Source organism: Homo sapiens, chromosome 4, assembly GCF_000001405.40.
Source record: "Homo sapiens chromosome 4, GRCh38.p14 Primary Assembly".
NCBI lineage: Eukaryota > Metazoa > Chordata > Mammalia > Primates > Hominidae > Homo > Homo sapiens.
In genome coordinates, this window is record NC_000004.12 from 144,481,089 (window position 1) to 144,502,102 (window position 21,014).

Below are 21,014 nucleotides of genomic sequence, written 5' to 3' on the forward strand. Positions count from 1 at the left end.
AGTTTTTAATAAAATGTTTTGGGTATTTTACATATAGAATCCTGTCATCTGAAAATAGTGATAATTTTTACTTCTTCCTTTCCAATTTGGATGTGTTTTATTTTTCTTGTCTGATAGCTCTTGCTAGTGTTTTCAGCACTATGTTGAACAGAACATAGTTGAATAGAATAGAAGTAGTAAAAGTAAACATTCTTGCCTTATACCAAATTTTAGCGGGAAAGCTTTCAGTTTTTCCCTCTTGATTATGTTAGTGCAGGATTTTTTATAATTGGCCTTTACAATGTTGAGAAACGTTCTTTCTATACCTAAACTATTGAGAGTTTTTGGTAAGGAAAGATGTTGGACTTGGTTGAATGCTTTTCCCATGCCAATTGAGATGATTATGGGTTTTTTATCTCTCATTCTGTTTATGTGATGTATTATGTTGACTGATTTATATATGTTAAATTAGCCTTGCATGCCAGGGATAAATTTAACTTGGTCATGATGTATACTCTTTTTTCATGTATTGTTAGATTCAGTTTGCTAATACATTATTGAGAATTTTTGCATCAATGTTCATAAGATAAATTGGCCTGTAGTTTTCTTTTCTTGTGATGCCTTTGTCTGGCTTAGGTATCAAGGTGATGCTAATCTCAACATTTTTCAAGGCAACATGAGAAGCAAGAAGTCAAAGGAGCAATGTTATTTTGTAATTTTAATTGCCAACTTTAATTATGAGGTACATGAAAGAAAATTTCAGACATATAATATTTCAGACTTCTTCTCGTGTACCTTTTATTAGAAATCTATCAAATGAGGTGTCCCACCACAAGGAGAGTGTGAAAAGGAAAGAAGATATGAAATGCAGGAAGAAGGGCATGGAACTTAAGAGAAAGTGAAGGAAAATTTCCAGACTGGTGTGAAGAAACTCTGTATGAGAGCCATTTTGGAGTAAGCCAGCAACTCTGATTAGAGTGGGCCAAAAGAGGAAGCTGATAGAATTATAGTGGTTTGAATATATTGAGAGGAACGTTAAAAATTGGGAAGAATTTGAGGAAGCATCAATGATAAGTATAAAGAAAACCAAGCAGATGAAAAAACATGATCATTATTAGCTTCGCTTCAAAACGTTTTGCAAGGAAAAAAAAGAAGAGGAAGTAGTCATAGTATACAACATTGCTCACATATGAAAATATTTACATGGTCCTAAAAATGTAAACCTGAAATATTGACCTAACTCAAATGTCTAACTCTATTTAAAGGATGGGAATGTGTAAGAATTGTGGTGAAAAGCAGAGGTAGTGTAAAAGAGCTAAATCTTCATTTTCCATGGTGGGAATGCTTCAAAATGAAAATTAAGAAATAGTAGTCTACACATGCTTTTAAATAAAAAAGTCAAGAAGATGGCCGAATAAGAACAGTTCCGGTCTGCAGCTCCCAGCATGATCGAGGCAGAAGATGGGTGATTTCTGCATTTCCAACTAAGGTACTTGGTTCGTCTCACTGGGATTGGTTGGACAGTGGGTGCAGCCCATGGAGGGCGAGCCGAAGCAGGGAGGGGCATCGCCTCTTCTGGGAAGCACAAGGGGTTGGGGGATTTCCCTTTCTTAGCCAAGGGAAGCCATGACAGACTGTACCTGGAAAAACGGGACACTGCTGCCCAAATACTGGGCTTTTTCCAAGGTCTTAGCAACCGGCAGACAAGGAGATTCTCTCCTGTGCCTGGCTTGGTGGGTCCCACACCCATGAAGCCTTGCTCACTGCTAGCACAGCAGTCTGAGATCGAACTGCGAGGCAGCAGCCTGGCTGGGGGAAGGGTGTCCACCATTGCTGAGGCTTGAGTAGGTAAAAAAAGTGGCTGAGAAGCTCAAACTGGGTGGAGCCCACCGCAGCTCAACAAGGCCTGACTCCATCTCTGTGGTAAGGGCATAGCTGAACAAAAGGCAGCACGCAACTTCTGCAGACTTAAACGTCCCTGTCTGACAGCTCTGAAGAGAGCAGTAGTTCTCCCAGCACAGCATTTGAGCTCTGAGAATGGACAGACTGCCTCCTCAAGTGGGTCCCTGACCCCTGTGTAGCTTAACTGGGAGACACCTCCCAGTAGGGACAGACTGACACCTCATATAGGTGGCTGCCCCTCTGGGATGAAGCTTCCAGAGGAAGGATCAGGCAGCAATATTTGCTGTTCTGCAATATTTGCTGTTTTGCAGTCTCCACTGGTGATACCCAGGCAAACAGGGTCTGGAGTGGACCTCCAGCAAACTCGAACACACCTGCAGCTGAGGGACCTGACTGTTAGAAGAAAAACCAACAAACAGAAAGGAATAGCATCAAAATCAACAAGAAGGTGATCTACAACAAAACCCCATTTGTAGGTCACCAACATCAAAGACCAAACATAGATAAAACCACAAAGATGGGGAGAAACAAGAGCAGAAAAGCTGAAAATTCTAAAAATCAGAGCACCTCTTCTCCTCCAAAGGATTTCAGCTCCTCACTAGCAACGGAACAAAGCTGGATGGAGAATGACTTTGATGAGTTGATAGGAGTAGGCTTCAGAAGGTTGGTAATCACAAACTTCTCCGAGCTAAAGGAGGATGTTCGAACCCATCGCAAGGAAGCTAAAACACTTGAAAAAAGATTAGACGAATGGCTAACTAGAATAAGCAGTGTAGAGAAGACCTTAAATGACCTGATGGAGCTGAGAACCATGGCAGAAGAACTTCGTGATGCATGCACAAGCTTCAACAGCTGATTCAATCAATTGGAAGAAAGGGTATAAGCAATTGAAGATCAAATTAATGAAATAAAGTGAGAAGACAAGATTAGAGAAAAAAGAGTAAAAAGAAACAAACAAAGCCCAGGAAATACAGGATTATGTGAAAAGACCAAATCTATGTTTGATTGGTGTACCTGAAAGTGATGGGGAGAATGGAACCAAGTTGGAAAACACTCTTCAGGATATTATCCAGGGGAAATTCCCTAACCTAGCAAGGCAGGCCAACATTCAAATTCAGGAAATACAGAGAACACCACAAAGATACTCCTTGAGAAAAGCAACCCCGAGACACATAATTGTCAGATTCACCAAGATTGAAATGAAGGAAAAAGTGTTAAGGGTAACCAGAGAGAAAGGTCAGTTATCCACAAAGGGAAGTCCTTCAGACTAACAGCGGATCTCTCCAAGGAAAACCTACAAGCCAGAAGAGAGTGGAGGCCAATATTCAACATTCTTAAAGAAAAGAATTTTCAACCCAGAATTTCATATCCAGCCAAACTAAGTAAGCTTCATAAGTGAAGGAGAAATAAAATCCTTTACAGACATGCAAATGCTGAGAGATTTTGTCACCACCAGGCCTGCCTTACAAGAGCTCCTGAAGGAAGCACTAAACATGGAAAGGAATAACCAGTACCAGCCAATGCAAAAACATGCCAAATTTTAGAGACCATCATTGCTAAAAACAAACTGTATTAATTTATGGGCAAAATAACCAGCAAACATCATAATGACAGGATCAAATTCACACATAACAATATTAACCTTAAATGTAAATGGGCTAAATGCCCCAATTAAAAGACACAGACTGGCAAATTTGATAAAGAGTCAAGACCAATCAGAGTGCTGTATTCAGGAGACCCATCTCACGTGCAAAGATTCACATAGGCTCAAAATAAAGGGATGGAGGAAGATCTACCAAGCAAATGAAAAGCAAAAAAAAGCAGGGATTGCAATCCTAGTTTCTGATAAAACAGACTTTAAAGCAACAAAGATCAAAAGAGACAATGAAGGCCATTACACAATGGTAAAGGGATCAATTCAACAAGAAGAGCTATCTATCCTAAATATATATGCACCCAATACAGGAGCACCCAGATTCATAAAGCAAAGTCCTTAGACTCCCACACAATAATAATGGGAGACTTTAACACCACACTGTCAATATTAGACAGATCAATGGAACAGAAGGTTAACAAAGATATCCAGGACATGAACTCAGCTCTGCAAGAAGCAGACCTAATAGACATCTACGGAACTCTCCACCCCAAATCAGCAGAATATACATTCTTCTTAGCACCACATCGCACTTATTCCAAAATTGACCACATAGTTGGAAGTAAAGCACTCCTCAGAAAATGTAAAAGAACAGAAATTATAACAAACTGTCTCTCATACCACAATGCAATCAAATTAGGACTCAGGATTAAGAAACTCACTCAAAACCGCACAACTACATGGAAACTGAACAACTTGCTCCTGAATGACTACTGGGTGAATAACGAAATGAAGGCAGAAATAAAAATGTTCTTTGAAACCAATGAGAACAAAGACACAATGTACCAGAACCTCTGGGACACATTTAAAGCAGTGTGTAGAGGGAAATTTAGAGCACTAAATGCCCACAAGAGAAAGCAGGAAAGATCTAAAATTGACACCCTAACATCACAATTAAAAGAACTAGAGAAGCAAGAGCAAACAGATTGAAAAGCTAGCAGAAGGCAAGAAATAACTAAGATCAGAGCAGAAATGAAAGAGATAGAGACACAACAAACGCTTCAAAAAAATCAATGAATCTAGGAACTGGTTTCTTGAAAAGATCAACCAAATTGATAGACTGCTAGCAAGACTAATAAGAAAAGAGAGGAGAATGAAATAGACACATTAAAATTGATAAAGGAGTTATCACCACCGATCCCACAGAAATACAAACTACCATCAGAGAATACTATAAACACCTCTATGCAAATAAACTAGAAAATCTAGAAGAAATGGTTAAATTCCTGGACACATACACCCTCCCAAGACTAAACCAGGAAGAAGTTGAATCTCTGAATAGACCAATAACAGGCTCTGAAATTGAGGCAATAATTAATTGTCTACCAACGAAAAGAAGTCCAGGACCAGACAGATTCACAGCCGAATTCTACCAGAGGTACAAAGAGGAGCTGGTACCATTCCTTCTGAAACTATTCCAATCATTAGAAAAAGATGGAATCCTCCCTAACTCATTTTATGAGGCCAACATCATCCGGATACCAAAGCCTGGCAAGGACACAACAAAAAAAGAGAATTTTAGACCAATATCCCTGATGAACATCAATGTGAAAATCCTCAATAAAATACTGGCAAACCAAATCCAGCAGCACATCAAAAAGCTTATCCACCACGATCAAGTCGGCTTCATCCCTGGGATGCAAGGCTGGTTCAACATATGCAAATCAATAAATGTAATCCATCACATAAACAGAACCAATGGCAAAAACCACATGATTACCTCAATAGAAGCAGAAAAGGCCTTTGACAAAATTCAACAGCCCTTCATGCTAAAAATTCAATAAACTAGGTATTGATGGGACATATCTCAAAATAGTAGAGCTATTTATGACAAACCCACTGCCAATATCATACTGAATGGGCAACAACTGGAAGCCGTGCCTTTGAAAACTGGCAAAAGACAAAGATGCCCTCTCTCACCATTCCTATTCAACATGGTGTTGGAAGTTCTGGCCAGGGCAATCAGGCAAGAGAAAGAAATAAAGGGCATTCAATTAGGAAATGAGGAAGTCAAATTGTCCCTGTTTGCAGAGGACATGATTGTATGTTTAGAAAACCCCATCATCTCAGCCCAAAATTTCCTTAAACTGATAAGCAACTTCAGCAAAATCTCAGGATACAAAATCAATGTGCAAAAATCACAAGCATTCCTATACACCAATTACAGACAAACAGAGAGCCAAATCATGAGGGAACTCCCATTCACAATTGCTACAAAGAGAATAAAATACCTAGGAATCCAACTTACAAGGGATGTGAATGATCTCCTCAAGGAGAGCTATAAACTACCGAGCAACTAAATAAAAGAGGACACAAACAAATGGAAGAATATTCCCATGCTCATGGATAGGAAGTATCTTGAGAATGGCCATACTGCCCAAAGTAATTTATAGATTCAATGCCATCCCCATCAAGCTACCAATGACTTTCTTCACAGAATTGGAAAAAACTACTTTCAAGTTCATATGGAACCACAATAGAGCCTGCATTTGCCATCCTAAGCCAAAAGAACAAAGCTGGAGGCATCACGCTACCTGACTTCAAACTATACTACAAGGCTACAGTAACCAAAACAGCATGGTACTGGTACCAAAACAGAGATATAGACCAATGGGACAGAGCAGAGGCCTCAGAAATAACACCACACATCGACAACCATCTGACCTTTGACAAACCTGACAAAAACAAGAAATGGGGAAAGGATTCCCTATTTAATAAATGGTGCTGGGAAAACTGACTAGCCATATGTAGAAAGCTGAAACTGGATCCCTTCCTTACACCTTAAACAAAAATTAATTCAAGATGGATTAAATACTTAAATGTTAGACCTAAAACCATAAAAACTCTAGAAGAAAACTTAGGCAACACCATTCAGGAAATAGGCATGGGCAAGGACTTCATGACTAAAACACCAAAAGCAGTGGCAACAAAAGCCAAAATAGACTTGGGATCTAATGAAACTAAAGATCTTCTGCATGGCAAAAGAAACTACCATCAGAGTGAACAGGCAGCCTACAGAATGGGAAAAAGTTTTTGCAATACCCATCTGACAGAGGGCTAATATCCAGAATCTACAAAGAACTCAAACAAATTTACAAGAAAAAATCAAACAACCCCATCAACAAGTGGGCAAAGGATATGAACAGACACTTCTCAAAAGAAGACATATATGCAGCCAACAGACACATGAAAAAATGCTCATCATCACTGGTCATCAGAGAAATGTAAATCAAAACCACAATGAGATATCATCTCACACCAGTTAGAATGGTGATCATTAAAAAGTCAGGAAACAACAGATGCTGAAGAGGAAGTAGAGAAATAGGAACACTTTTACACTGTTGGTGGGAGTGTAAATTAGTTCAATCATTGTGGAAGACAGTGTGGCGATTCCTCAAGGATCTAGAACTAGAATTACCATTTGACCCAGCAATCTCATTATTGGGTATATACTCAAAGGATTATAAATCATGCTACTATAAAGGCACATGCACACGTATGTTTATTGTGGCACTATTCGCAATAGCAAAGATTGGAACCAACCCAAATGTCCATCAATGATAGACTAGATTAAGAAAATGTGGCACATATACACCATGGAATACTATGCGGCCATAAAAAAGGATGAGTTCATGTCCTTTGCAGGGACATGTATGAAGCTGGAAACCATCATTCTCAGCAAACTATCACAAGGACAGAAAAGCAAACACCACATGTTCTCACTCATAGGTGGGAATTGAACAATGAGATCACTTGGACACAAAGCAGGGAACATCACACTCTGTAGAAGGGTGGGGGGCTGGGGGTGGGATAGCATTAGGAGAAATACCTAATGTAAATGATGAGTTGATGGGTGCAGCAAACCACCACGGCACATGTATACCTATGTATCAGATCTGCACGTTGTGCACATGTACCCTAGAACTTAAAGTATAATAAAAATAAATAAATAAAATTATAAAGCAAAAAAAGTAAAATAAAATAAAATAAAATTGGAAAAAAATGAAAAATAAAAAGGTTGAAAGGGGTTGCCATTGGAGGGGGAAAATGATGAGGCAAAATGGAGGGATTATTGCACTTTTTCACAGAACGGCAGGATTATTTAAACCATGTGCTTGTATACATCTAATAGAAACAAAAAATTAATTTTTAAAGTCTGAAATCTAACTGATAAAACAGTCATTCAAAGGAAGTGTACCACCTGAGGCATCTGTGGGCATGGAGTTGAGGGCTACTAGACCCCTCAGTTACAACTGACTTCGGTGTATCATCTACACTCTTCATCTTATGGCGCCTCCCTAATTTATTAGTGTAGCTCTTACACAACACTTACTATGTGTCAGGCACTTCATTAGTAATTCAGTTAAGCCTCACACCGACTCTATGAGGTAGGCACTATTGTTATCTCCAGTTTATGAATGAGGAAGCTGAGGCAGAATGGACTTAGGTAGCCTCCTGTTGTCGGCCAGGTAATAAGTAGGTACTGACATTCCCACTCATACAGAACAGCTCTCTGTGTTGCTCAGCAGAGAGGGTTAGGGACTTTACCCCAACGAAGATTCACAAAATGAAGGAGTCCCGTAAACCAGGAAGAAGGTTAGTTACGGAGCAGCCAAAACCAAAACATGCCCATTACAATTAATATGGTGAGAGCTATATGAAAATCATTGCATTTAGTTTTCAGCAAATCTCTGTCAAAAACTAATAACACATCAATGTGCACTGGTGAATATCTTTGTTTTTATTAATTATTTTCCAAGTGAAATAAAACAAAAAGAAGCAGTAATCCCACCAGATATCTGATTGTTCCTCAGGTAAGAAAGTAGTTTTAGAGACATTGACTTGTTAAAAATAGGTGCTAATTAATGCTTCAGAAAGGTGTGTTCTATTCATTCTTGAATATATTATGAAGGAATTATCTGAGTGATTAGGGAATTGGACAAGAATTAGGACCTGCAACTCAGGGTAAGCTCTAAATCATTCTAATGACAGGGATTTTCTTTTTAATTTACCTTTCATTTTCTTTTTTTTTTCTTGTTTACTTTAGGTAATTAAAAATAAAGAGAATTTAAATGTTAAAATATTTAGACAGATCATAAGATATCTTTAAATTTGAGTGAAATTTCTCTTCTCAGTCAAGTATGTCTTGTTTTTAAAAATATGTATCATCTAGAAATATCCATAACTCAGTATGCATTTTTCTACATTTACTCAGTGATGCAATACATTTTTTACCAAAATAAAATTATTCTATTCATATCAAGCTGCAATGTACTTTTTTCTTCTAAAATACATAATGAACACCTTTCCAGATCAGGATACTTTATTGTTTTAAATAACTACATGGTATTCCATGATATAAATATGTGAGTGTTCATTCATCACTTCATTGCTAATAAACATATAGATTATCTCCATTTTATCTATTAGCAACATTGCGTAATGATCATCTTTGTACAAATATATTTATAGATGCATATTTTTAATTCTGTAAGATAATGATCTATAATTGGTCTTTCAAAATAAAAATTAGATCATATTATTTTTTGCTTCAAACCTTCAAGTGTCTTCCCAGTCCCTTAGAATAAGATCCAAACTCCTTTTCATGGCCTCAAGGTACCACACCACCTGCCCTTGCCAGCTCATCCAAGCCTACTCTGGCCACTCTCCCTCTTCTTCTCTGTGATCCAGCCTTGTTGGCCTTTTCCACGCATACAACAAGCTTGCCCTTTTTAGAGCTTTGCACTTGCTGCTCCTGCTGCCTGGAATCTGCTGTAAGGCTAGCTCCCTCTCAGCAGTAAGCTCTCATCATAAAATGCATCTCCTCAGAGATGCCCACCCCACATACAATAGCTTCACCTACCCTTAGTGCTTCCATCACATGCTCTCTCTCAAAAAGGATGTCACATTCTTAAGCTTTGCTATGCCTAGCATGGCTCATCCTTAATTGCTCAGCTTATGAATCTTAGAGCCTTGAGCTTGACTTTGAGGCAAGAAGATCCATTGATGGGACATGTCAGCTACATGCAAGGAGCAATGAGACCATCGGCTCCAGTCCATCCAAAACAAGAAGCTTGGCATGTCCCCAGATGGTGTGACATTTCAGTCTCCCTTCCAAGGTACTTCAAAGAGACCCACCAAAATGCCTGAGAGTGAATTTTCTTGTGATCTTGGTAGATGGATACCACTCTAGATTTTATTTTATTTAAAAAAATTTAAAAATGGATTCTTTCTTCTATAAACATAAAAGAGAACTTGAGGAGAGCATGGCTAATATTTTGTATATTATCAGACTAAGTACAGAAATTCAGAGGAAGCCAGCACCACACCGTTTTGTCCCTCCAATTTTGATGTTCTAGATGTATATGTATTAGATTTATGCACAGCAATATTAAAATTTTTAAATAGGTCTGAAATTATTATGTCCAAGTTGAGGATTAAATAACTGATTAGACAAGAATAATGCTGCTTTCATTGTTAGCATTAGTGAGAAATGGCCCATAGAGTTAACCTATACACTGGTACTAAATATTATAGATTACGGTAATAAATATTAGATATAGACATTTTCTTTTCAGTTGGAGAAATAACCCAGAGGAAAGTATATTTTTCTGCCTAGTATTCTCTGCATGAGGCTTTGGCAGAACCCTAAACAATGTATGACATTCAATACTCCTAACACTAATTTGGTCAAAGTAAATAACATTCAAGAAGTTGTCAGGTTGTCCTGAATACCAGAGACATTTCTACTTGCAATGGTAGGAAGAGAAATAAATGCATTTGATGTAGCAGCTGAATCAGGATGCTAGATCAGGAGAAATATATCTTCATTATGGATGGTACATAGTTTCTGCTATCAACTAAATAAAAAATGCTCTTAAAATGTTGAACATGGAGAAATTTGCTTCCTAAAATCAAGATAGGTTTGCTTTTATAAACTAGTGATAATAATGCAAGAAAAGAAGTCTAATCAACCACATGTTTAAAGTATTTCCTCCATTATGGCACATTTAAAGAAAGCAATTTTTGTGATTGGATGATATATTGCAAAACATATTAAGGATAGGAAAACAATGCACACTTTCACCTTTGAGATACTGAGTTATGTAGTTCCATAATTACTGACTTACAAGCACCAGTAGGATTAGACACACCTAACTCATTTAAGCCAAGAGGCAGCCACAGCAACCATTTTCCATGAAGCAAGAAACAAGCTACACGTTATTGCCCAGCCCATTTAAAGTATCTGATGATGAAGTAGCCAAAAAGCTATATACAAATTCAAAAATATAGTTGCAATATTTCATGATAGAAACAGTTTTTTGTTGCTGTTATTGTTGTTGTTGTTGTTTGTTTTTTGTTTTTTTTGAGACAAGTTCTTGCTCTGTCGCCCAGGCTGGAATGCAGTGGTATGATCTCAGCTCACTGCAACCTCTGCACCTCAGGCTCAAGTGATTCTCCTGCCTCAACCTCCCAAGTAACTGGGATTACAGGTGCCTGCCACCACGCCTGGCTAATTTTTGTATTTTTAGTAGAGATGAGGTTTCACCATGTTGGCCAGGCTGTACTTGAGCTCCTGACCTCAAGTGATCCAAAAGCCTCAGCCTCCCAAAGTGGGATTATAGGCGTGAGCCATGGTGCCTGACCTTAATTTTTCATTTAATAAGAGTTCTTATGAATAAAAAAGAGAAAAAGATAAATGACCCAATAGAAAAAGAGACTAAAGAAAAGGACAAGAAATTCACCAAAAAGGAAGAGTAAATCACCAATAAGTATGTTTAAAATATGCAACCCTAGTAAACGGAAACAACAAGATAAGATTTTTTCCTATTCCCATAATATAAGCAACTTTTAAAAAAGATAATGCTAAGTTTTATTGCCACTCTTGATCACCTTGGCAGAAAGCAATTTGGCAATTTTTAGCAAAAGTTGGAATATTTTTTATTCATTTCCAGCTATTCTGTGTGGACCCTGTGCTAGGCATGGGACAAAAAATGTTGAAAAAAGCTCAGCACATAGACTCCACCAAAGGCAGGAGTACAAAAGGGAAAGGGGGCTGCTACGGTAAATCATACTCATTTTTTCTTAAATGGGTAAGAGTTAGCAAGTTGATTGGAGGTAGTGAGGGATAGGGAAGGTTTCTACAAAGTTAATCACTAAAAGCTGCCAAGGCCGTTTAACGGAACTAACGTAATTACTAACCAACTCCCAGTGCAACTGAGGTAATACAAACAAATTTTTTAGGATGCTGGAAGGCTAAACTAAAAGTGGTCCCCAAAGGATTTTATAAACATGGGGTCAGGGCACAAGCTGCAAACTAGAAGGGCACATTCTCGGGACCCTCCAGTTATGGCTGATACTTGCAAAACATGAAAGAAATAATGTCTCTGCTCTCCCTGCCCCCACATTCCAGGTCCTGTTCACATTACCCCCTTAGTGTGTGATTTACAGTGCTGCTTTTAAAATGTAGATTTTTTCAAGCTTTTATTGTTAGCATTTAAGTCATTAGAATTGTAGCTCCTCCATATATTTACAGAAATTAACCACATATTCCAAGTGTCAGTCCACACAGCACTCAACTGCAGGTTCTAAGCTTTAAGCTTTTGTTCATTTAACACTAATTTGCAGAAATTGGGTTTTCAGACTAATGTACAGTCAGTTCTTTTTTAGATTTATTATCCATTCTTAGAATATTTTTCTTTCATACCTGCCTTCTTTCTTTTTGTATTTGATTTGAATACTATCGATTGCAATTGTGGGATATATGCATGTGTGTGTTTAATGCGCATTAAGAAATTGTAAATCAAAGAATTATAAAGAGAATGTGAGTGTATACAACTCTTTTCTTAGAGCATAGCTCTGATGGATGCTAAAAAAGATTTTTACTAAATGAAAGAAAAATACCAATATAACAAATTAGATAGGCTGTTGTAATTGGCAGATGTTGGGTTTTCAATGGAGAAAAAAGACAGTACATTTTAGGCCTACTTTTCTTCCTTGGGTCTAATTGAAAATTTGGTTCATTGTAAGAACTCACGTGGTAGGCAAGAGCATCTATCCCAGTTCTTCTTTTAACTGTCAAAATAGAGTTTCCATCAGTTGCTGCCTAAGGGAGCTATGACCTGGATGGAAAATGCCACAAACGATTAAAGCAAACTTTAGTTTTTTGGCTGCCCCAGCATCTTCCCCTTTTTCTCCTGCTGAGGAGTTGGTTCACTGTGGTCTTGTTTGGAATATTCCATGAAGAATACTGACAATGTATGGGATTCGTCATGGTATGAACAATTTTCATGGATGGAAATACAAAGGCCAGTGTTAAATGAGAGCCTTTATAGAGGCTTTGAACAGTAATAAATTCCGATGAACAGTCCCCCACCCCTGGGGACCATCTTAATCTTTTTCAGGCACACACTAGATACCTTACAGAAGAAGCAGCAGTCCTCCAAGGGACAGAAGGAAAGAACAAAACCAACGGCCTTTCATTCAGGCTGAGAGACAAAATTCACTTCAATTTCACAAAACTGTCTTTGGACATGAACCAAATAAAAAATTCTTTTCATAGTTGGCCCAATGACATGCCACCTGAAATTACCAAGCTTGCTTTTCATGTTGTCTTTGTGTGCATGAGGGCAAGCTAGAGCAATAAACTGCTGGATATTATGATTTATTTTATAGTGTAACCCAAAGCAACATGATCTCTGGTGTATAATAGAAGATAATATGACTCTTTGAAGCAGAGAGAAGAAAAGGGAGAATAAGCCCTGGTGGCATTAAAATTGAGGGCAAGTAATTTGTCGCCGTAAGGGTTTCAAGTATTATAGTCCATGAAGGCCTTAACTCTGCTTGGAATGTGGTAAGGTGGCCAGGCCTGTTGTGAAATACTTCTCTGGTAGAAGCTCTGAGCTGACAAGTTGTACAAAGAAGAGTTGCAAATTAGAAGCTTATTTCTTGTCAACATGTCAGGGGTGGTCCTTAGTCTAATAATCTGAGGGAGACAGGGCCTTGGAAGAAGCAACAGCAGAAGAGGTGGGCTTCTAATTCAGAGGAGAAAATGGGCTTAAATAACCAAATCTGGATTTTAGCTCAAATTTGCCACAGCCTCCTAAAGTTAATGGGCAGGGGCCTTTGAAGGAGGCAAGGAACTGAATAGAATGAGCTAGAGCTTTGAAGTCAGACAGACCCTCGTTTGAACTCTTTCTTTATTACCTACTAACTGTAGGACCTGAGCCTCTCTGAGTCTCAGCCTCTTCTCTGTTAGACGGGTATAATAATAAATACTTCTCAGCATTGTTTTAAAGATTAAGTGAAGTAATACGTAACTTTCAGCATTGTTATAAGGATTAAATGGGATAACACAGAGGCAGATCAGTGCAGTGCCTAACCCATCCTGACTCCTTCTTTACCTATTCCCCTTGCAAAAGAACACTGCAAAGTCAGATGGTTCTACCACTTTTTCTTGTAAAGCAATTTTCTCTTACTAAGCATTAATCTTCTATAATTTCTGGGTTATATATTGACAACTCAATCATGTATTTTGCACTTTTTCTACATCATTGTCATATATGGGAGTATCTTGTGGTTTTTTTGTTAATTTCAATAACAAGTCCTCCTCTAGGAAAATCACAATGACTCAATCATGATTTCTACTTAAAAATGTACGTCCTGAATCAGTGCAAAGTGGTCAAAACATGAACTAAAGGAGATATAAGGAAGAATTAGCATTAAGCACACTGTTTGCAACTAAAATACACAACTATGGTTTAAGGAATTATTTCCTAGTAGTAAAATTATTTATGCAGACATAAGTTCTTTTTGATCAAGGATGGCAGTGAATGTCTCTCCAAGCAAGTTTTATTGGTCACGTCAGACTAAAAGGAGCTATAGCTTGTTTAATAGTGATCTCCTTGTTTTGTTTCATCGCTACCAAACAATGTATAACACTGAAATTAGACACATCTAATCCCCACATTTCACAGAAGAATAAATTGATTCCCTGGAAGATGTGAGACCTGCACAGTGTCTGGGGCACAACACAAACCTGGGTCTCTTCTCACAACCTTGGGCTCTTTTTTTTTTTTTTGAGTTGCTATTTCAGATTCCCTCAAACAGACTCCTCTGCTATCATTACAAGCTAGAGACACCTAACCATTTCCTGAAGTTTTGAAAATGTCCCAGTGCTTTCTGATATGGTTTCCACAGAAGCCATGTTTCCATGTTTGATGACACTGGAAAAAATGCTTTATGCAAATGTGAAGCCAGCAAATGGTTATTGTGGAATAGCCATCCAACGTTCAATCCCAGGAGGTATAAATAAGCACAGAAAAATGACCACTCTTTCAAATGATCATCCAGCCCTTTTGAGGTTTCCCTCATCACCAGCCATAAATATCACTTGCTCTTCCACTCATTTCTGGCCTAGTAATGCACGCCACCAAGAATTAGGAATTTCTCATTTCTAAAGCTGATTTGGCCACCCAAATCAGCTTGTGGGGCCTTGGACAAGTCATTTAGTAACTTTCTCAATCTTAATCAAAGAGTAAAATCTTCAATTGCACTGTGAAGATGACCTCATTTACATTCACACTTACTAAGGATTCTCATTTTCTAAGCCGATTTTTTTTTAAAGTGGCACTATCATGTCACATAGATCAAAAAGCTAGCAATGTAATCATATCATCCAAACATAGCAAGATTGGAATGCAGGAAAGAAAATAGAACAAACTCTTAAAAACATTGCAACTGAAAATAGAAACTTAGTAATGAGTATTCTTACAAATTATGCTATTAAAAGCAAGGCTCTAATAAGCACTACTTGTCCATAGAACTTTATCACTTCTCCATTAAAACAAAGTTCTGGCATGAAGCTTCTTTAGGAAGCTCCAGGAACATAGCCTTCATTCTCAGGCTAAGTTAGGAATAGTTTCTCTATAATCTCACAATCCCTTGATTATGCCAATGTCACTTCACTTATCACATTGAATTATAATGATTTGTTCTTATCTCTGTAGCTTCCAGGAGACTTGAACTGTTAAGGCAGGAATCATTTCTTATTCATCATGCTAAATCCACTGCCTGGCACAAAATAGGTATCAAATACATAGCTTCTTGATATACAAAAATATGGGCTAGATGGTTGTTTATGGAGGAAGCTATCCAATTCTATTCTCATAGCCAGTGGAGAAATGAAATAGCTTTTCTAAGAGAGTTTTATTTTCTCAGCTTATAAAAAGAGACCAATAAGGAACTGGAGTTTTATGAACAATATTTCAGCATCTTCCAGCTATCTTCATCTTAGATGAAGTGCTCTACGTATGGCTATATTCTGTTGACACACAGACACACACACACACACACACACAATCACCAGAAGACATCCAAAAAGAATAAATATTAAAATTCTTATAGGGTTATAGGTGTGTGGCAATCAGGGAAATATTAATTTAACCCTCTTCAATAAGAACTACAGATTTTAGTCCAGGGAACATAGTTTCTAAAAAACAGTGGGAGACAAGTTAATATATCCAAATGAAGAGATCAGCTGGCACACAGAAAATCCCCACTGCTGGGAGAATTTAACTCTGTAGATTGTGGCGAGGTCAAAAGGCCCTTGTTCCTTCTTGGAAAGATGCTATTTCTCCCGTACATTATTTTCTGTGTGTGGGAATTGCTTGCTGTAGAAATTTGAGTATTGATAACCTAAAGACACTGAAGAAAACATTCATTCACAACTGTTTGTTATAAATGTTTATCTTTGGCTGGTAGATAAATCCAAGATAATATGGCAAGTTTGCTTTTTGAGGGACAAAAAAAAAAAATCCAAACATAGTAAAGGCAAAAATGTAGGAAATAAACACAGGAGATATACTATTTCTTGCTGTTGACTTAGACAATATTATTTGGAAAATTGTAGTATACCTTTTGTTGTAGAACATAACACTAGTTTGTTACTCACTAACATCTCACTCTCAATTCTTTCTCCTTTGCAAGTCGGGGAAGAGAACTAATCTTTGCCACAGTTTCCAGCAAGGCTGGGTCACCGTCAGCATCACTATCTGCCCTCAACCACCACTGAAGCCTAGGTGCTACTTGGGACCCCCTGTCAGCAACCCAGGAGCTCCTCCCATGGGAGGGGTGACATTTCACAAAACAGAGAGTGTAGGTGTAGGGATGGAGAAACCAAAGAAGGTGAGGAAGATGGGGGAAAGATGCCAGAATATTGTCCACAGGACCCCCTCCTTGTGTGGGTCCCAATCTTTAGGAACTTGTCCTTTCTGAAATTCGGGAAGAAGTCCACATTAACTAGAACTTTAATCTCTGTCCTTTTCTATTACAATTCCTTTAGGAATTTGTCCTGACAATGTAGAATTAAAAAAATTGCATATACCCAAATAATCTGCTATACTAGTCTTTGGGAGACTGAATGAACAGAACAACGGAAAACTTGGTTCCTGCGGGACTCTCTGCATGCTGAGCACATGATACTATGAAGTTTGGGGGTGCACTGTAATCTCTGCCTAGCCAAGAGGTGTGGGGAGAAAGTCCAAAAACTAGAGGAGCATTCTGAAGTGGACAAGCAAGAAAACAATGAGTCCAAACCTTTCTACTAACCCTGCATGTTAGAGAATGTGTACCAAAGAAATAAGGCAAAAGGCCCAACTCTCAGAAGGTGCAGGAGAGGGAAGAGGAATGGAACATAAACAGAAGCCCAGACAATGCCACAGCAGTGTCACAAACTGAGGCTACAGCCTGAAAACCACGAAGGAGTCTTCACATGCAAACAGGACCTAAAGCCCAGCACATCATCTACCAATTGTTTCCACCCATCCAACACCCACGGAGGGGCAGGGGGTGGTGACACAGAACACTGGGCATCTGTCGCCATGTGATCTGTTTAATGTAAAATTCAGCACATCACATAGATTTTCCTTTATTCCCAAATATCATTTATTTTTAACTTTTTAGGAAAAATATTGTGCTTATTCCTCTATGCAATAAATTGTGCTTGTAGCATGTTTCCATGCATACTGAGATTTTGAAGCTCAATAACTCTCCAGATACAATTTGACTGGAAATTAATCATCCCAAATATAATGATCTCAACATCAAGAAAAATGTGAAATTTGTAAATAGTAGAATTTATAATGATTTTTCTTTCTTTAACTAAATTATCCATAAGCCTTGACCAAATAAGTGAGAAAAAATTCTTAGCTCCTCCTCGGTCTCCAGGTTGAGGCTAAGTTATGAGTAGCTGGCAATCAAGTCATTCAAAAAATAATAATATTCACTTTTATATGTGCTTGGAATACCAACTGAGCTTCTTGTAAAAACTTCAGCTGTTAGTAGAAGACCTGAAACAGGTTTTTCTCGTTTAAGAGGCTGTAATTTTCAAGTTCGTTTCTCAATATGTGGAATTTATGAAAAACAAGCCATTGGGTATTATTTTTGCCATGCAAATAAGGATGGTTCACGGGAATGTTTAAATTTTCTTCCCCAACCACTACTTTAAAAAGTACCCTGGTTGAAGAGTTCAGTTTCCTGTGCACTTTTCGCATTGACATGGAAGGTGCCCTATAAGAATTCACTCCAATTTTTTCCATCCTGTGTCTCTCTGTCGTATAACCTGAAGCTACTACATTGCATGGCATGCTTCAGGTCTTTACTCACAATTTACTAAACAAAACCCAGATTCCATGTAAGACTGATTTTTCTCCCCTGCTTGTTTACTACAATACTAGAAAAGAGGAAATTAGGTCAAAATTAAAACTGACAATGGTTTGGGAGTACTGTTAGATTTAGTATCCTTACCCTCTAGCACAGACAGACCTTGTTTTATTGAGCTCCTCTTTATGGTGCACCATGGATACCGCATTTCTCACGGATTGAAGGTTTGTGGCAACCTGCACAGAGCAAGGGAAAATCAGCACTATTTTTCCAAAAATATCCTAACTTTGTCTGTGTGCCACATTTTGGTAATTCTCACAATATTTCAAACTTTTCATCATTATTATATTTGTCATGGTGATCTGTGATCAGTGATCTTTGATGTTACTATTGTAATTGCTTTATGGTGCCATAAACCGCACCCATATAAAAGGAGAACTTAATCAATAAATGTTGTGTGTATTGTGACTGCTCCACCAGCCAGCCATTCCCCATTTCTCTTCTTCTTCTCCAGCTTCTTTATTCCCTCAGACATGACAATATTGAATTTAGGCCAATAAATAACCCTACAATGGCCTCTAAGTGTCTAAGTGAAAGGAAGAGTTACACATCTCTCACTTTAAATCAAAAGCTAGAAATGAATCAGCTTAGTGAGGAAGACATGTAGAAAGCAGAGATAGCCCCAAAAAGAGGCCTTTTGCACCAAATGTTAGCCAAGTTGTGAATGCAAAAGAAAAGTTCTTAAATGAAATTGAAAGTGCTATTCTGGTGAACACATGATTGATAAGAAAGCAAAACAGCCTTGTTGCTTTGGTGGCCCAGAAAGGCCACTAAAACCAGCCACAACATTCCCTTAAGTCAAAGCCTTATCCAGAGTAAGGCCCAACTCTCTACAATTCTGTGTAGGCTAGGAGAGATGAGGAAGCTTTGGAAGAAAAGTTTGAAGCTAGCAGAGGTTGGTTCATGACGTTTAAGGAAAGAAGCCATCTCCATGACATAAGAGTGCAAGGTGTAGTACCAAGTGCTAATGCAGAAGCTGCAGCAAGTTGTCCAGAAGATTTAGTTAAGATAACTGATTAAGGTGGCTATACTAAACAGCAGACTTTTTAATGCAGACAAAACAGCCATTTATTGGAAAAAAATGTCATCTGGGACTTTCATAGCTAGAGAGGAGAAGTCAAAATCTGGCTTCAAAGCTCAAAGACAGGCTGAATCTCTTGTTAGGGGCTAATGAAGCTGGCGACTTTAAGTTGAAACCACTGCTCACTGACTATTCTTTAAATCCTAGGGCCTTGGCCAGGTGCAGTGGCTCACGCCTGTAATCCCAGGAATTTGAGAGGCAGAAGGGGGCGGATCACCTGAGGGTGGGAGTTCGAGGCCAGCCTGACCAATATGGAGAAATCCCGTCTCTACTAAAAACACAAAACTTGGCCGAGCACAGTGGCTCACGCCTGTAATCCCAGCGCTTTGGGAGGCCGAAGCAGGCGGATCATAAATTCAGGAGATTGAGTCCATCCTGGCTAACATGGTGAAATCCTGTCTCTACTAAAAATAAAAAAATTAGCCAGGCGTGGTTGTGGGCGCCTGTAGTCCCAGCTACTCGGGAGGCTAAGGCAGGAGAATGGCGTGAACCTGGGAGGTGGAGCTTGCAGTGAGCCAAGATCAGGTCACTGCACTCCAGCTTGGGCAACAGAGCAAGACTCCATCTCAAAATAAATAAATAAAATAAATGAATAAATAAATAAATAAATAAATTAGCTGGGGGTGGTGGCGCATGCCTATAATCCCAGCTACTCAGGAGGCTGAGGCGGGAGATTCCCTTGGACCCGGGAGGCGGAGGTTGCATGAGCCAAGATCCCACCATTGCACTCCAGCCTGGGAAACAAGAGTGAAACACTGTCTCAAAAAAACAAAAAACAAACAAAAAAAAAACCTAGGGCCATGAATAATTATGCTAAATCTACTCTCCCTGTGCTCTAGAAATGGAAAAACAAAATCTGGATGAAAACTTATCTGTTTACAGCATGGTTTATAAAATATTTGAAGCCCACTATTGAAACCTACTTCTCAGAAAAAATTTTTTTTTCAAAACAATATTACTCATTGACAATGCACATAGTTACCCAAGAGCTGTGATGGAAATACATAAGTGAATGAATGTTGTTTTCATGCCTGCTAACAAAACATCCATTGTAGCCCATGGATTGAGTCATTTTGATTTTCAAGTCTTATTATTTAAGAAATACATTTAATAAGGCATTAGCTGCCACATATAGTGATTCCTCTGATGGATCTGAGCAAAGCGAATTGAAACCTTATAGAAAAGATTCACCAAATGCCAGTAAAAACATCTGTGATTCATGGGAGGAGGTCAAAATATCAACATTAACAAGAATTTGGAAGAAGTTGATTCTGCCCTTCCATGGATGACTTTGAAGAGTTAAGACTTCAGGGGAGGAAGTCACCACAGCTGTGATAAAAATAGCAAGAGAACTACAATTAGAAGTGGAGCCTGAAGATATGACTGAGTTGTTACAATCTCATGATAAAACTTTAACAGACAAGGAGCTGGCTCTTATGAACGTGCAAATAAAGTGGTTTTTTGAGATGGAATATGCTCCTGGTGAAGAAGCTGTGAACGTTGTTGAAATGACAAACAAGTATTTAAAATATTACATCAACTTAGTTGCTAAAGCAATAGCAGGGTTTGAGAGGATTGACTCCAATTTGGAAAAAAAGTTCGACTGTGAGTAAAACAGAGAAATCTTTTGTGAAAGGAAGAGTCAATCTATGTGCAAACTTCAGTGTGGTCTTATTT

The 21,014-nt window shown here is 38.3% G+C and overlaps 1 long non-coding RNA gene across 2 annotated transcripts in view, besides 2 other annotated features; it reads right to left on the bottom strand.

The window, feature by feature from the left end:
• The window catches only part of LOC105377462 (uncharacterized), a 360,687-nt gene that overhangs the window by 279,628 nt on the left and 60,045 nt on the right, over positions 1 to 21,014 (bottom strand). The window contains exon 2 of one of the 2 annotated variants that reach the window (XR_939272.3): positions 18,359 to 18,432. The exons of the other annotated variant lie outside the window; for it this stretch is intronic. This is a non-coding gene — a long non-coding RNA (uncharacterized LOC105377462). The remainder of the gene's footprint in view (positions 1 to 18,358; positions 18,433 to 21,014) is intronic. 2 annotated transcript variants of the gene reach the window in all.
• Positions 18,936 to 19,075: an enhancer, noted in NCBI's record as "active region_21955". NCBI's record gives its function as "activates an Ori minimal core promoter by ATAC-STARR-seq in GM12878 lymphoblastoid cells {active_cell/tissue: GM12878}" and the evidence as "EXISTENCE:reporter gene assay evidence [ECO:0000049][PMID:35858748]".
• Positions 19,146 to 19,205: an enhancer, noted in NCBI's record as "active region_21956". NCBI's record gives its function as "activates an Ori minimal core promoter by ATAC-STARR-seq in GM12878 lymphoblastoid cells {active_cell/tissue: GM12878}" and the evidence as "EXISTENCE:reporter gene assay evidence [ECO:0000049][PMID:35858748]".